Raw genomic sequence first — 14,925 nt, forward strand, 5'->3', positions numbered from 1 at the left:
CAGCCAGGAAGGAATGGCCAGGATGTGCCTGACAGAGAGGCTGGGAGTCTTCTAGGGAATTTCCGCCTTGAAAGGAATTATACCAGGAATTGCAGGGATGCTGGAAATCCTAGATCTTAGGTAGTAGCAATGTTTATGCAATGAGGCCCAGCTGCAGCCTTAAAAATTGCATTGCAAAATCTTTCCCCCTGGATAAGAAACCAGCAAGAAAAGAAGTGCTAAGGTCAAAGACAGAATCCCAGGAGGAGTCAAATCTAAGGTCAAGGGTCACTCACGGCTCTCCTGGAAGTGAACTGAAGATGCAATGTCCAGCCTGCCCTAAGTCCATTTGCAAATAATCCTCCTTTGGCCTTATCCTTTCCACATTACACATTTGGATCTTTTTACACTCCCCCCGCCCCAACACATACACACATACACACTTAGTACTGATGCAATTCCAGTGTTTGAACAAGAAAACTACAAGTCCCTAATAGTTGATCAAAGGAAACCTCAGTAAGCAAATCAACATGTTCCCTCTTCCTCCAAAGCAGTAGAAAGGTAGCCACTGTCTTGGGTCAGGAAATGGTCCCTGGAAGGGTATTTTTAAAGACACCCAGATTCCCAAGGGTGCTGCTATGCCGTGTGAAAGCCCCTTCAGCTGCTAACCTGGGAGTTCTGAGGGGCTGTCTCTGCTTCTTGCCCAAGCTGACGATACAGAAGTGAACATGGGCCCTGAGGAAGTCCTACTTTTCTCCCATCTCCCTTCTCCTGCAGTCAACACACAGGCACCCCTGCAAGATGCCTCATCTCTAGGAGGGATATGAGAGCCTGTATCTCCAATTAACACAGGAAGTGAAAGAACAAAACCACAGCTCCTAGGCTGTAACAGAAACAGGATTTTAATACAGTATTCATCTCTATTGTATCCATTTTTATAGTAAATAAATTTTGCCCCTCTTCAAAGCAGCCAGGGCTGGGGGAGAGCTCTTAGGGAGCGGGGACAGGAGTGTCTCATGTTCTCCTGGGCTTCAAGGGATCCCAGAAAAAGACTCACCTTGCTGTCCTTCTCATCTGGGCTGGAGGAGCCGGCCCAGGGTCCCTGGGGGGCCCAGCTGTGCCCTGCTGCGTACGTAGGGGTCACAGTTGAGCGTGCCTCGTGTCTGTCCAGCCACTGGTCCAGGGCTCTGCTCTGGGGGCCTGGTGGCTGGATGGGAGGGCAGGATGACCTGGAGGGGACTACCCCAGGGTCTCAGACTACCCTGCCACCCACTCTCACTCTGTGCTCCGGGCACTGTGCTGCGTGCTTGGTGTCCCGGTCCCGAGAGTGATCATTTAGCATCAGCCCATTTCATAGAGGAGGAAAGCGAGGCCCTGAGAGGTGAGGTGCCCTGCCCCAGCCACAGGGCTGTTCAGTGATGGAGCCGGGAGCCCAGTGCCAGCTGTCCGACACTCCAAACCCACACTTAGCCCAAAGCTGCACTGAGCCCTGGGACAGTCCGCCCAGTACACCAGGTCACTCACAGGCACCTGAGCTTGACTGTGGCCTTTTCTCCTTGGCATTGAGGCCGTTGCTGGCTGACTCAGGTGGTGGTTCTGACTGGCAGGACTGCTTATAGCTACAGGACAGGGTGGCAGCCCTGAGACTACCTGGAGCCACACCTCAGCTCTCCCTCCCAATGCCTGCCCAGCACCTGCAGTCTGGATGGCCCAGCTGTCACCACATACTAGAGGATGACTCTGACCAGGAGCCATAGCTTCAGGCTTCCTGCTACTGGCCACCAGAGAGAGTCGACCCCTGCCCTCACCCAAGTCCTTCCCCAGCCTGATCTCTCATCCTCACTGAGCTGCTCCATGGTCTGGAACCAGGTTCCAAAGTCCTCAGGTGGAAATTATCTGCAGCCACCTGAGGCAGCTGCAGCTCCCTAATTACTGTGCATTCCTGGTGCCAGAGGGAAGAACAGCAGGGTGACAGGGCCCGGTGGGGGGTGCTGGAGGAGCCCTGGTGGGGGTGTGGAGTGGGGCTAAGGGTCTTGGCCTCTCTAGGTCTTTGCTTTTAAGAGGCTCCCACCTCCACTCCAATCCCATCCAGTCCCTACTTGTTCTCAGAGTTGGGTTCAAACAGTCCCTCCTCCAGGAAGTTGTCCTTGATTCCAGCGCCTACCCCCACCCTCCAGTGGGATGGTTCCTCCTCTGCTCTGTATCAAGCCCTCCCAATGAGTCTAAGATGTAGGGGATGGGTCCAGGGAGTGTCTGGCAGGCGGGGAGTCTCCGACTTCCACGCCCCCAGCCTCCCGCAGTGAATGCCACAGCTGCTTACCTAACTCCTTTCCTGGAAGTTGATCAGATTTGCCTGGAAGTCACACAGCCAAAGCCCATCAAAAAGTCCCTGGCCCCTGACCACCTCCCGACCACATTCCTCTCACGTTGCAGTACCAACAGGGTCCACCAGGGGGCAGGGCGTGCATACAAAATGGGACTTGAACCTGGGTCAGACTAGGCTCCAGAGGAGGCGGTCACGGCAGCGGAGGCTCAGGGACTTTAGAGCCCAGCCCTCTCTGATGACAGACAGGGAAACCGAGGCATCGAGCTGGAAGGGATTGTTCACCTACTCCCGTGCTCTCTAACTTCACTCTCCTGCCACCATGGACAGCGCCCGAGGGAGCGTCTGACTCCAGCGCAGCTACAATCTCCTGCAGCTGGGCAGCGAGGCAGCTGGGCCGCTTCACTACACGGGGAACGGGGTCTGGCGGCTCCGTGGAGCCTCCGTTCCCCTCATCAATACGGTGGGCGCGACGCCCGGCTCACAGGGGAAGTGTGAGGACCGCCTAAGAGGAGGTTTGCCGAGAGCTCAAGACTCGGTGAGGGGCTCTCTCCTCCCAAGCTCAGGACCCTGGCCCCGCCCTGCCCCTCCCCAGCCTCAATCGCATCTGGATAATCCTTCATCGCAGTGCCCAGCATCACCAGGTCAGATGGAATGGGCCAAGGAGGGGTCGGACCCTGTGCCCATGGGGTGGGGTGTTGATGAGCACTGGCTCTCCGGTACCGCCCTCGGGTTGATCAGATCAAACAATCTGCAGCCACCTGGGGCAGCTGCAGCTCCCTAATTACCTAATCAAATCCCTCACACTCAGCCTCCCGGACCCACCCAGGCCTCCCACGTGGAGCAGCCAAGATTTGCCCCCACCCAAAACCCGTCCCCACACCTCTCTGCGTCTAGCAAACTCGCTGTAGCCACTCCTACAGCCGGCTTTGGCAATCACAAAGGTTGTGAGGGGCCAGCCCTGGTTCTCCCTGCTCCTCTCCAACCCACCATCTCCACCCTCTGCGCCAGCCCAGCTCTCCCTGACCCTTGCTCTGGCCACTTCTGTTGGAGGCATTTCAGGCACTGCTGGAGAAGCAAGGCCCCCTCCTCTCTTGATGTGAGGCCTACGCTGGGAGGGAGGAGTCCTGCCCTCTGACTCCCAGGAGTTTCTCCCACCCCACCTGCAGCTGCTGCCTCTTCTGGGCTCTCTGGGGCTCCATCTCCAGGGTGGCCACCCTGAAGGTCCCCTCCTGCCAGGGTCGAGGGCAAGGTCAGTGAGGATATCCTCTTCACCCCTTTATTCTCCCAGCCCCCTGACCCTGGGGCCCTGGACACCTGGCCAGATCAGCTGGTACTAGTACTACTGCCACCACTTCTGGGGCGCTTTGATTCCAGCTTCACTCCCTTGGCCTCCCTGAACCTGTGTGTTTCCTCCTCTGGGAAAGTGCGGCAGGAACTCCACCTGCCTCACAGGCTCTCCTGAGCACCTGGTTCCTAGCACTCACAGCATTGTTCCTGCCATCACACCCCTCCCCCAGGGCAGAGCCAGGCACAAAGCCCTCCACATTCCTCTCCATTGTCACCATGTGAGTCCTGCACCACAGGGCCATCATCCCTCCACTTTTCAGATGAGAAAACAGAGGCCAAAGAGGAGAGTGACTTGCCCAGGGCCCCATAGGAGAGGCCAGCTTCCTCCTCCTAGCTGGAGGCCCCATCCCAGCTGCCTTCACCATGCCCCTCAGCACCACTGCTGACCAGGGTCCCATCCTCTGGGCTCTCGATGTGTGTCCAGGCCCCCAGCCAGGCCCAGCCGTGGTGGGAGAAGACAGGGTAGTCCCAGGAGGCCCAAATGAGTGGCTCCTGCCTGCCTCAGCCACAGGATTCTCTGCCCCAAAGGCTGGGCTGAGGCCATGCAAAGGCTCCACCTCCCCAGGGAAACCCCCAGGAAGTTCCCCTGCACAGAACACTTTCTTCCTCCACTCAGGAAGGGGGACTCCGAGGTGCTATCTCTAATTGACAGGCTAGGGGTGCCCAGGGTGATGGGTGAGGCCACTTTGCTTCCTCTTTTGTGTGGATGCTTGTGAAATCCTCTCAGGAAGTAGCCACCGGGGATCCATTAGTCCCCATATACTCCTCATAAACCATCTGGGATATGTGTCATTGCAAATGAGGCATCAGGGCCGGAATCTGTGACTGATCAGCAGTGCCTGCTATGGTGCCAGAGAGGGCAGTTGCAGAGTGCACATACCTGTCCTCTACTCTAGCCATTTGGACCCATGGCTGGGCAGCCTTTTTGACTACCTGGCCTATGGGATTCCTCGGCAGTGCCCATCCCTGGTGCAGGCAGGGAGCCCCCTCCCCTTGGAGCTGCAGTCCAGACAGAAGAGCAGCTGGAGGCCAGCTTCCTGAGGACCCTCTACCTTCCCCATCTGCCAACAGCCTGGAGGGGGCTACCAGCCAGTGCGATGGGCCAGCCAGGGACCCAAGCCAGGGACCTGCTCAATCTGCCACCTCATCAAGCCCTCCTGGCTCAGCACAGCACAGCCACCACTATGACCCATTGCTGGGACCTCCTGCTCTCTGAAGTGCCCCCCACCCCCACCCCGCCTGCCCATGGACCAGAGGGGTCCCTCTGCTATGAATCCAGAAAAGATGCTATGAATCCAGAAAAGATGGAGACTGAAGATTTTCAAAGAAACTCTCAATAAGAAACTGAAAAACCACACCCTGTCCAGTCCTTCCACCCTCTCAGTTCCCTCCCTCCCAAAGGCTTGCCCCCATCTCCTCCTCCACTTTGCCATGGTGAGCAGAACCCTGCACAGTGCACTATCTTACACACCTTGGAAATTTCTGGGACTGTTCCTGTGCAGAGGGGAAAGAAGGAAGGAGAAATTTGGGAATCACGGGGAGGGGTATGAGTGCAAATCCCATTTACTTAAGAAGTCACAGACCCAAACACCCTAGATGAGAGGTTCCAACAGGTTCCTCTGAGTCTAAGGGCCCCATGAGACTGGGGAGGGGAGGGGAGTCTCAGGTTGGTCCACTGGGCCCCCACTCCCATTTCAGCTGAGCAGGTCTGTTTTGACCAGTTTTGATTTCAATCATCAGAGAAATTTGTTGCTGTGAGGTAAGCTCTTGATAGTCTCCGATTTGGCCCCAGCCTATATCTGACAGGTAAGGAAAGGTAACCTAATTTGAAGCAGAACTGCTGGCCTAAGATCCCAGGGAGGCTCAGAGACCCCACCCAGGTTCCCAGTCCCTACCTCAAGGGTTCACAGCCTCCCAGTGCCTCCTAGGCTCACTGAGAGGCAATGCCCAGCCCAGCCCCGTGGATGTCCCTGATCCACCCTGGTGCTCCTATAGAGAGAGGCCTTCTCACCTGGAAACTTCTCTCCATGTGAATTGAGGTACTCTGCAGAGCAGAGAGGATGGTGTGGAGTGAGGAGAAGTTCTTGAGGACTCAGCACTCCTGGGGAGGAGGGAGAATGAGCCAGGAGGTGGGGAGCTGGAATCCCCCCTGCTCCACTCCAGCTCCTCCACTGACATCTCCCCTCCTGGAGGAGACAGAAGCCCCGGGGAGCTGTGACAGGGAGTAGGGGCACACCTGGGACCTAGTGAGCAACACTCACAGGGAAGGAGCCCAGTAGGAAGTGAGCATCCCATCTCTGAGACACATGTTCAAGGCCAGCATGCCCCTGACAGGAAGGCCTAGGGACTGTGTGGGGGCTTAGACCACAGACCACACACCTGAGAGCTGACAAGGAGGCCATTCCCAAGGCTGCAAGAGGGAGCATATTAGTCCGTTTTCACACTGCTAATAAAGACACACCTGAGACTGGGAAATTTACAAAAGAAAGAGGTTTAATTAAACTTACAGTTCCACATGGTTGGTGGCTGGGGAAGCCTCACAATCATGGTGGAAGACGAGAAGCAAGTCACATCTTACATGGATGGCAGCAGGCAAAAAGAGCTTGTGCAGGAAAAGCTCCCCCTTATAATAACCATCAGATCTCGTGAGACTTACTGTCACGAGAACAGCACAGAAAGACCTGCCCCCATGATTCAGTTACCTCCCACTGGGTCCCTCCCACAACACGTGGGAATTCAAGATGAGATTTGGAAGGGGACACAGACGGGAGCTCCCTGGGCCTCCCACAGCAAACCTTGGCCACCTCGATTCAAAGTTGCACCACCCTGCGCCGGCCCGGGCCTTCACTCTCTGGTCTCTGCATCACATGGTGGTTCACTGAGGGCACCCAGCACATGATGACCCAGGACCCAATATTGGTAGGCACAGGAGAGTGGCATTTTCACTCAGCCCTTCCTCACTAACTCCAAGCACCAGAAAGTGGCTTATGCCTGTCCCTCCCCAGATGGCATCTGTCTCCTTCTTGATCAGCCATCTAGTCTGTCTCCCCATTTGGATACATGTCGTCTTCCCCAGGGGCAGCTTTGTTTCAGTGTCTGTCTTAGAATCCACATTAGGTGCCTAATAAGGGCTGAGGTGGGTGAGGTTTCCTGAGCACAAGTGGGCAACCCATGCACCTGGCTGCTCCTCAGTGAGCACCCTCCACCTACAAAGGGACCAGGCCCTGACCTGCCTTCCCTCTCTCCTCTCATTCTGCACAGTCACTGTGTGTGGCAGGTGCTGTTATGTCCCATCTCTGCCCTGTACATGTGGACAGTGAAGGTCTGGAGGTTAAGAATCTAGTCCAGGCCATATGGTTGGTAAGAGGTGGAGATGGGATTGGGCCCGCATCATTCGACTGAGGCTCAGGGAAAGGTCCCAGAGGGGAGGCTGTCCCAACCCTGCCCTGAGAGCCCAGCGCTCATTGCATCCATCAGAGTCAATTGCTCTGCCACCAGCATAGGAAAGAATCCCCCAGGAGGCTGGGGACCTCCTCACTGGGCCAGTTCTGTATGGTCCCAGGCTAGGGGCAGGAGTGCTCTGGGACTGATTCTATCTTGGGCTGTCACTGGAGCAGGCTCCTTCCCCGGAGTGCCCTCAGGGTACTTTTCTGGCCAGGTGCCCAGGATAGAAGAGATAGTGTTAGGGGGTGGGGGTGGGGGGCAGCAGAGTCACATACCTGGCCTTTCCTTCCACATTGCTCTTCTAGGGCACCTTGTTTGGATGTGGGCCCCTGTGCCTGCCCTGCCTGTCCAGAGACGGCCCCACCCAACCCCTCTGTGACTGTCCTGGCAGAGACAGCCCTGGTCTTCAGGCAGGGCAGGCATAGAACCTACATGGGCTGGGTCTTGCCAGTGACTCTTGCTCTGAAGGGCTACCTGCACCAGGAATGAGGTTTGAGGTAGAAGTGTGAGCGGGTTGCTCACTACAGCTCCTGTTCTAGGTCCCCTAGAGGTTGGGTCTGGAGGGGTGGATGTGGAAGGAGGCGGGCAGAGCTGGGATGGGACTGTGGTGGGGATGGCTCTGAGCCCCAGCCTCCCTTTCACTTCCCAGGGGACTTGGATCCTATCCATAACTCTCACTAACTAATTTCCTCCTGCAGAGGAAGCCCCCAGACCTCAGCCCTCTCATGGGAATCCTAAGATGTATGAGATCCAGGGTTCTGCCAGCCCCTCCCCAGCCACAGACTCCCATATGCCCCCAACTGTTCTGGGGAAACAGGAGCCTGTCCTTCTAGACCTGAAGTCCACTGACATTTTTAGTTGATCCTGAGGTCCATCATCTCTGTCAGAATATGGCAGGATGCATGTGTATCTGGAAGAGGCCAGGAGGACATCACAATGTCAACATACTGTGGACGCAGCCTGCTTATGATGTCTAGTGCACCCATGACTCCCCAGCTAGAATTCAGACAATCCCCAGGGAGTGCCTTCTGCAGGCAGAAAAGTACCTGCACAAAGTAGGTGCTCAATGTATATTTGTTGAAAGAATGAACCCCAACCAGAATTTTCCCAGATATCTGAGTTAGCGTAGGGCCCCTCCACCAGCCCCCAGGGAGCCCTGTTCTGGGTACCCCAAGCACAGGGATCAGCCATGTGGAAACTCAAACCCTCTTCACAAATGGGAAAACAGGTTTGCTTTCCATATGCTTTCCCAAACATAGGAAGGCCATGAGTGAGGCAGAGAGCTACTTCGTGTTCAAAAAATAAATAACAGCCACAGCACATCTGGCAGCCATTTCCACAGAGCCAAGCACCAGGTCAGCACCTGCCATGGCTCACCCCATTTAGTCCCTGCAAGAACCCTGTGAGATTCATCCTCTTACCACCTTTCTTCTCAGAGGAGCAAATTGAGGCTAAGAGAGGTGCAGCAAAATTCCTGAGACACACAGCTAGCTGGTGGCAGAGTCCCCACTGTGCTGTCGAAGGGACAGGCTCCCACCTATTGAATACCCAGTCCAGGAACTGTGGGGTAGAGACGAAGAACCAGTGGTTTCCCAGGAAGGTGGTGCTGTAGGGTATGTGTCTGCTCTGGAAGCCTGGTCCAGGGATGCCACCATATGCTCCTGAGTGCCCACCTGGAGGGTCCACATTGTGCAGATCTCGCCCAGGTGCAGGGTTAACTCATTTTTATACTGAGTGGGACAAGGAAGGACACAGAGTCAGAGGCAGCACCAAAAACCACCAGGAGAATCGTGAGCTAGAGCTCAGACCAGGAAGCCCCAACTCCTTGGGGACTTGTGTGTGAAGAGGGATGTGAGTGCCCACAGCAAGAGAGGTTAGCATTCCCCTATTAAGAGCTTGTATGAAGAGCATCACTCTAGTGCGTCCTAAAAAAATCCCCATTGTTGAGATGGAAAACAGAGGCTTAGGGATGTCAAATGGCTGCTCAAGGTCACACAAGACAGAACTAAGAACTGCCCAAAGCTAGGGCCGCATCACCTTCCCCCTAAGCTACCTGAAGCTTAGTCTTCTTCTGGCATGGAGGGAGAGGATCTGGGGGAACCTCATTCCCCACCCCACTGCCCCCACCAAGTTGAGAGACCAGTTTACAGTGTGGATCCACTGCTATGGTGTGCATGTTTGTCTTCTCTAAAACTCATGTTGAAGTGTAGTTGCCATTGTGACCATATTGGGAGATGGGACCTTTAAGAGGTGTTTAGGTCATGAGAGCTCTACCACCATGGGTAGATTAATGTGAGTATCGTGGAGGTGGGTCTGCCCCCTCTTGCTGTCTCTCACTCTCTCTTTGCCCTTCTGCCCTGTGAAGCCTTCCGCCATGGGATGATGCAGCAAGAAGGCCCTCACCAGATGCCAGCATCTTGACTGTGGACTTCCCAGCCTCCAAAACTGTGAGAAATAAATTTCTGTACAATATAAATTACCCAGTCTATGGTGTTTTGTTGCAGCAGCACAAAATGGACTACAACACCCACCCTAGGAGAGTCCTTTAGACTTCAAAGCAAGGCACTTAATTTTCTTTCTTTTACAATAAAGGCAGTCTTGAGAACCTGAGCTATGAGGATCCCAGATCCAGCAAAGGGGCGAATGCCTGGAGGTTCCAGGGTGCGAGAAGGGCTGTCACGGCAACAAGAACACGAGCAGACAACTGGGGGAAGAGAAAATCCAAATGGCTGGCAAACAACTGACAGGTGCTCAAGCCTGTAAGTGGGAAATTAAAAAGCAAAGGAAGCATACGGTGGCATTTGCCACATGGACACCAGATTATCAGGAATGTAAATGAATGACATCCCCCATTGTCAGGCTGGATGCAGGGAAGCAGCCACCATTGGAGACTGCTGTGGCAACGCAACTGCCACAGCCTCTCTGGAAAGTAATTTGGCTGAAGCGATTTAAGATTTCTCATATGCATACCCTTCCACCAGCAACCCTATGCCTGGAGTCTGTCTTCTGTAGGGAAGAAGTATGTGGTATGAGCCAAATTATGTCTCCCAAAATTCATATGTTGAAGTGCTAACCCCCAGGACCTCATAATGTGACTGTATTTGGAGACATAGTCTTTAAAGAGGTCATTAAGGTTGAGTTCATTGAGGTGGACTCTAATCCAGTCTGACTGATGTCCTCATAAGAAGAGGAGATTAGGGCACAAAGAGGCACAGAGTAGGGAGGTAGAGGTTGCAGTGAGCTGAGACCAAGCCACTGCACTCCAGCCTGGGCGACAGAACAAGACTCTGTCTCAAGAAAAACAAACAAACAACAAGGACAACAAAAATGAGGCACAGAGTAAAGACAATGTCAACACAGAGATAAAAGGCGGCCATCTGCAAGCCACAGAGAGAGGCCTCAGAAGAAACCGCCCCAGCCCACACCTTGGTCTCAGAATTCTAGCCCCAGAATTGTGAGAAAACCAATTCTGTTGTTTAAGCCACACAATCTGGGTACTGTTATGGCAGCCCTAGCAGGCCAGTGCTCTCTAATAGGACACACATAAGGTGTTCCCCGCAGCCCTGCTGAAATGGCAGCAGAATGGAATCACATCCAGGTCCACCAGCATTGGAAGGTGGAATTGCTGTGGCAAAAAAAAAAAAGCCCTCCTTTTGGAATATTGTGAAGACAGGTGAGGCCAAGGCTCTGGCCCTAGTGGGCTAAGATGATGTGTTCTGGGACATGACAAGTTGCAGAGACACATAAAGAAGAGCTGAACCAACCCCCACCGCCTCCATTTTTGTGTATAAACCACCCTATTAAGCCTGATGATTTCTAAGGCTTGGAGCAGGTCTGGAAGGGCAGGGGAGCTGATTCTTACATGGGATATCTGGGGCAGGTGGCTAAAAAAACAAAAATAGTAGCAACATGCAAAAATGCTCATGGCCTGGTGTGATATGAAAACAATGAAAAAGTCTTTTCTCTGATATTCCTACAAGTGTGTGAAGTGTCTTTCCACCTTACCAATTTGCAGGTGGAGGAGGAGTGGCAGCCCAGATTTCTGCGGGGTAGAACTGTGGGCCACTCTAGTGGGAAGGCCCTGCTTGAGAGACCCCAGGAGTCCTTGTATACAAAACTGGGTTCTGGACCCGGGCTGTTCATCTCGTGATACTGGCAGTGGAGACACCAGCACCACCACCCTCCCCCATGCCCGCTCTCACTCCAGACCAGTGCTGGTCATTATTGGTGGCATGGTGCACCTACCCCTTGTCTAGGAAGATGGAGGAGTTGAACCCATCAACCAGCTCCTCACTGATCTCTCACATGGAGCTCTGCACAAATGATGCTCGGCAGCCAGATCATCAGACATCAGGGCCCTGCCTGGCCATCACCGCAGCGGGAAACTCACATTAGAAATTCTGCTCCCCAGATAAGGCACAGGTAGGCAACTGCATAGAGGAAATGAGCTGAAGTCTCAGGAGCACAGGATAACATCTGGGGAAATGTCCTTCACCCAGCACTCACCTTCCCATCTTGCCAGGCCCACCAGGGTTCCAACACCCAACAACCTGCTCCAGCCCAGGAAGGGCCCAACGCTCATCCCTTGCCTTCCCTCCACTGCCTCCCTCCACACACACGGCGATGGAGAGGGGTGTGGGGCTGCCCAGGTGGGATCACAGTTGTGGCCTGGCCCGGACTTCTCTGTGTTACCTTTGGGTACTTCCTGCCAAATGGCCAGAGGTGCCAAAAGTGAGTGCTGAGCCAAAAAGCCTGCAGCAATGGAAAAGGCCCTCGTGCCGGGCTTTCCTGGAGTCAGAGCCTCAGAAAGTCGGGATACAGCAGGAGAACATCTTATTCCCTCTAGTGGCTCCCATCGAGTGAGCTGGACAGGGGGTCTCTAGAATGTGAGTGCTGGTTATCAAAGTTCTAAGTTCTGTTGGGGCCTATCACCAAGGAAGTTAGGTCACTTCTCTAAGGTTCCATTACCTCGGCTCCTTCCTTCAAAGAGCTCCCTCCCCAAAGGTCTCTCTGAGCCATTGACTGCTCACCCTCCTCCTCTATGTCATCTCCTTAACTGTTCACAATTTTGCCAACATCCCCCCTCTGGGAAAACCCAAATGCAGCGAGGGCCCTAGGTTTGAGGAGATACAGCTGGGTTCCAACCCTTCTTTTTCTTACCAGTTCTGTGCCCTGGAAAACTCACTGTACCTCTCAGAGCCTCTCCAGTCCCCTAACCTGCACAATGCAAATCATCCCAGCATCTGCTTCCCAGAGACATCATCAGGCATACATGAGATAATTCTCATAACACTCATAGGTTGGTGTCACAAGTAACAAATGCACAAACTCAAGAGAAGGAAGAATTATAAGGATAGATGGGATGCAGCACGGACTTAAACTGAAGACATGCCCGGGTTCCAACAGTGTAATATTGGAAAAGTTACTTCCACTCTGGGCCTCATTTCTCATTCTGCACCATGAGAGAGTTAACATAAAATGAAACTGGTATATGGTCATCCTGTGGCATAAAGCCTTCCAGTGGTTTCCTGTTATATTTAGAATCAGACCTAGGTGTCTCATCCCAGCCTATGTGGTAGTCTGCATGCATGCACAGCAGCTTGCAATGAACCTCACTGCTGGGATTCATGCCCTTGTTTAACCATAAAGTGGTTACTGACTCCCCTTCTGACTAAGAGTATACAGCAAAGTGACGGGTTGTCTCTCCTGTCTGAGTCAGTTAGGGCTGCTATAAGAAAGTGCCACAGACAGGGTGGCTCACCAATAACAGAAATGTATTCCTTGCAGTTCTGGAGGCTGGAAGTCTGAAATCAGGGTATCAGCATGGTCCAGTTTTGCCGAGGTCCCTCTTCAGGGTTGCAGACTGCCAGCTTCTTGTTGTGTCCTCAGATGGTTGAAAAAGGGTGACGGAGCTCCCTGGGGTCCCTTTGAAAAGGGCACTAATCCCATTCATGAGGGCTCCACCTTTATGAGCTAATTATCTCACAAAGTCCCCACCTCCTAATATTATCACATTGGGAATTTGGCTAACAACACATGACTTTTGGGGGACGTAAACATTCAATCCATTGCAACTTCCAATATTTAGTTACAAAAAAAGCACCAATTCCCTCGTACTTGCTGTCTCCTGTGTTTCTCCCTCCCTTTCCTTGTCCTTCTCTGTCCCTCCTCCTCTCGCTGCCTCTGTCACAGTCCTCTAACTGAGGAAGCAAGCTTTCATGTCAGGAGCTACCCGACATAGAGGCCCACATGGCAAAGAACTGGGGAACATCCAGGCCAACAGACAGAAAGGAACTCAGGCTTAGTCCAAACTGGTTCTGCCAATACCTACATGAGTGAGCTTGGGAGCAGCTCTTCCCACAGCCCAGCCTCGGTTGAGACCACAGTCCCAGCTTCATGGGAGACCTTCAGGCAGAGGCACCCAGGTAAGCCATGCCCAGGTTACTGATCCACAGACTGTGAGATATTAAATATTTGTACTTTCACATTGCTAATGTTGTGAGAAGAATGGGTAACTCACCTAGTCTACCAGGCCCCAGGATCTGGCCCTGCCATCATTTCCCTCCTCTCCCATCCTCCCTCCAGGGCTCCCCCAAGCCACACTCCCCAAGCCACACTGGCTCTTTCTCTTCTTTCTTCTTCTTCTTATTTATTTATTTATTTATTTTGAGACAGAGTCTCACTCTGTTGCCCAGGCTGGAGTGCAGAGGCACGATCTCAGCTCACTGCAACCTCCACCTCCCAAGTTTAAGCAATTCTCCTGCCTCAGCCTCCCAAGTAGCTGGGATTACAGGTGTACACTACCACACCTGGCTAATTTTTGTACTTTTAGTAGAAATGGGGTTTCACCATGTTGGCCAGGCTGGCCTCAAACTCCTGAACTCAGGTGATCCACCTGCCTCGGCCTCCCAAAGTGCTGGGATTACAGGCATGAGCCACCACACCCAGCCTACACACTTGCTCTTTCTAACCTCCTCTGCCAAACCCACCTCTGTTTGGGAGTCTCTGCTTCAGTGGTGCCTTCTCCTTGACACATTGTTCCCAAATGTGTGCAGGGCTGGCTCCCTCTGGTCCTTCTGCTCACAGCATAAAAGTAAGGCCCCTCTGAGGCCCACCCAGTGACTTCCCAGGCCCACCTCTCAGCACTCGACTTCATTTTCTCTACAGCACTTGCTCTTTTCTTTCACATGCCTTTGTCCATCTCCCCCTCCAGACTGTGAGCTCCTGGAGAGCAGGGACCACTTGGCTGATCTCAGCACAGCATGCTGGGCCCACTGGGGCACCTGCACAGGGTGAGTGCTCAGGCGTAGTTGCTGCATGAATAAATGGGAGGATCGCAGACTTTCCACCTCCCCACCTTCTGACCAGCTAAGACTGTGGAGATGATCAATGCAAATAAAAGGTGTGAGTCAGACCTGAGGAAGGAGGACGGCAGGCGTGACCTCTGCGTGACTTTTCCCTGGCACCAGTTGCTGGTAAAGCAGAGTAGGCACCGCGGACACAGGAGGCTGACCGCCTCCTGGTGGCCAGCCGTAGCACTGCAGCCCCAGGCCAGAGCGCCTCGACTTAAGTCACACACTCCGGCTGGCTGACCTCAAGGCAGTGGTTTTTTGGGGGTCTCCAGGGGGCAAAGGAGCAGGTCCGCAGGCTCCAAAGGGCAGTGTGAGGAACCTCGGAAGCCTCCCTTGACCCCTTTTTGCCTCCACTTCCTTTGGCGTCAAGCATCCTTATCTCGGCCAGGACAATGCTTCCCCCTACTTCCAAATGCAGACTCAGGATCCAACAAGGATCAGCCTCGTTCCTGGACCACAGACACGGTGTCCGACGCT

At 53.7% G+C, this 14,925-nt stretch overlaps 1 long non-coding RNA gene across 1 annotated transcript, besides 6 other annotated features; it reads right to left on the minus strand.

Moving 5' to 3' along the window:
* Positions 1,038-1,544: an enhancer, noted in NCBI's record as "H3K4me1 hESC enhancer chr9:100148028-100148534 (GRCh37/hg19 assembly coordinates)". NCBI's record gives its function as "activates a minimal SCP1, AML or CMV promoter by ChIP-STARR-seq in naive H9 embryonic stem cells {active_cell/tissue: H9 hESC(naive)}" and the evidence as "EXISTENCE:reporter gene assay evidence [ECO:0000049][PMID:30033119]".
* Positions 1,545-2,050: an enhancer, noted in NCBI's record as "H3K4me1 hESC enhancer chr9:100148535-100149040 (GRCh37/hg19 assembly coordinates)". NCBI's record gives its function as "activates a minimal SCP1, AML or CMV promoter by ChIP-STARR-seq in naive H9 embryonic stem cells {active_cell/tissue: H9 hESC(naive)}" and the evidence as "EXISTENCE:reporter gene assay evidence [ECO:0000049][PMID:30033119]".
* Positions 3,301-3,865: an enhancer, noted in NCBI's record as "H3K27ac-H3K4me1 hESC enhancer chr9:100150291-100150855 (GRCh37/hg19 assembly coordinates)". NCBI's record gives its function as "activates a minimal SCP1, AML or CMV promoter by ChIP-STARR-seq in primed H9 embryonic stem cells {active_cell/tissue: H9 hESC(primed)}" and the evidence as "EXISTENCE:reporter gene assay evidence [ECO:0000049][PMID:30033119]".
* Positions 3,916-4,115: an enhancer, noted in NCBI's record as "active region_28660". NCBI's record gives its function as "activates an Ori minimal core promoter by ATAC-STARR-seq in GM12878 lymphoblastoid cells {active_cell/tissue: GM12878}" and the evidence as "EXISTENCE:reporter gene assay evidence [ECO:0000049][PMID:35858748]".
* Positions 4,146-4,295: an enhancer, noted in NCBI's record as "active region_28661". NCBI's record gives its function as "activates an Ori minimal core promoter by ATAC-STARR-seq in GM12878 lymphoblastoid cells {active_cell/tissue: GM12878}" and the evidence as "EXISTENCE:reporter gene assay evidence [ECO:0000049][PMID:35858748]".
* On the minus strand, positions 6,128-11,983 carry LOC286359 (uncharacterized). Its single transcript, NR_026847.1, has 6 exons — positions 11,789-11,983; positions 11,342-11,468; positions 8,770-8,826; positions 8,521-8,656; positions 7,947-8,006; positions 6,128-7,570 (listed from the first exon to the last, which is right to left on the minus strand). It is a non-coding gene; the product is annotated as an uncharacterized LOC286359 (long non-coding RNA).
* Positions 14,587-14,774: a silencer, noted in NCBI's record as "fragment chr9:100161577-100161764 (GRCh37/hg19 assembly coordinates)". NCBI's record gives its function as "represses an EF-1alpha promoter that drives an FKBP-Casp9 reporter gene in an ReSE screen in HepG2 liver carcinoma cells {active_cell/tissue: HepG2}" and the evidence as "EXISTENCE:reporter gene assay evidence [ECO:0000049][PMID:32094911]".

The sequence above is a fragment of the Homo sapiens genome, chromosome 9, assembly GCF_000001405.40.
Source record: "Homo sapiens chromosome 9, GRCh38.p14 Primary Assembly".
Classification (NCBI taxonomy): Eukaryota; Metazoa; Chordata; class Mammalia; order Primates; family Hominidae; genus Homo; species Homo sapiens.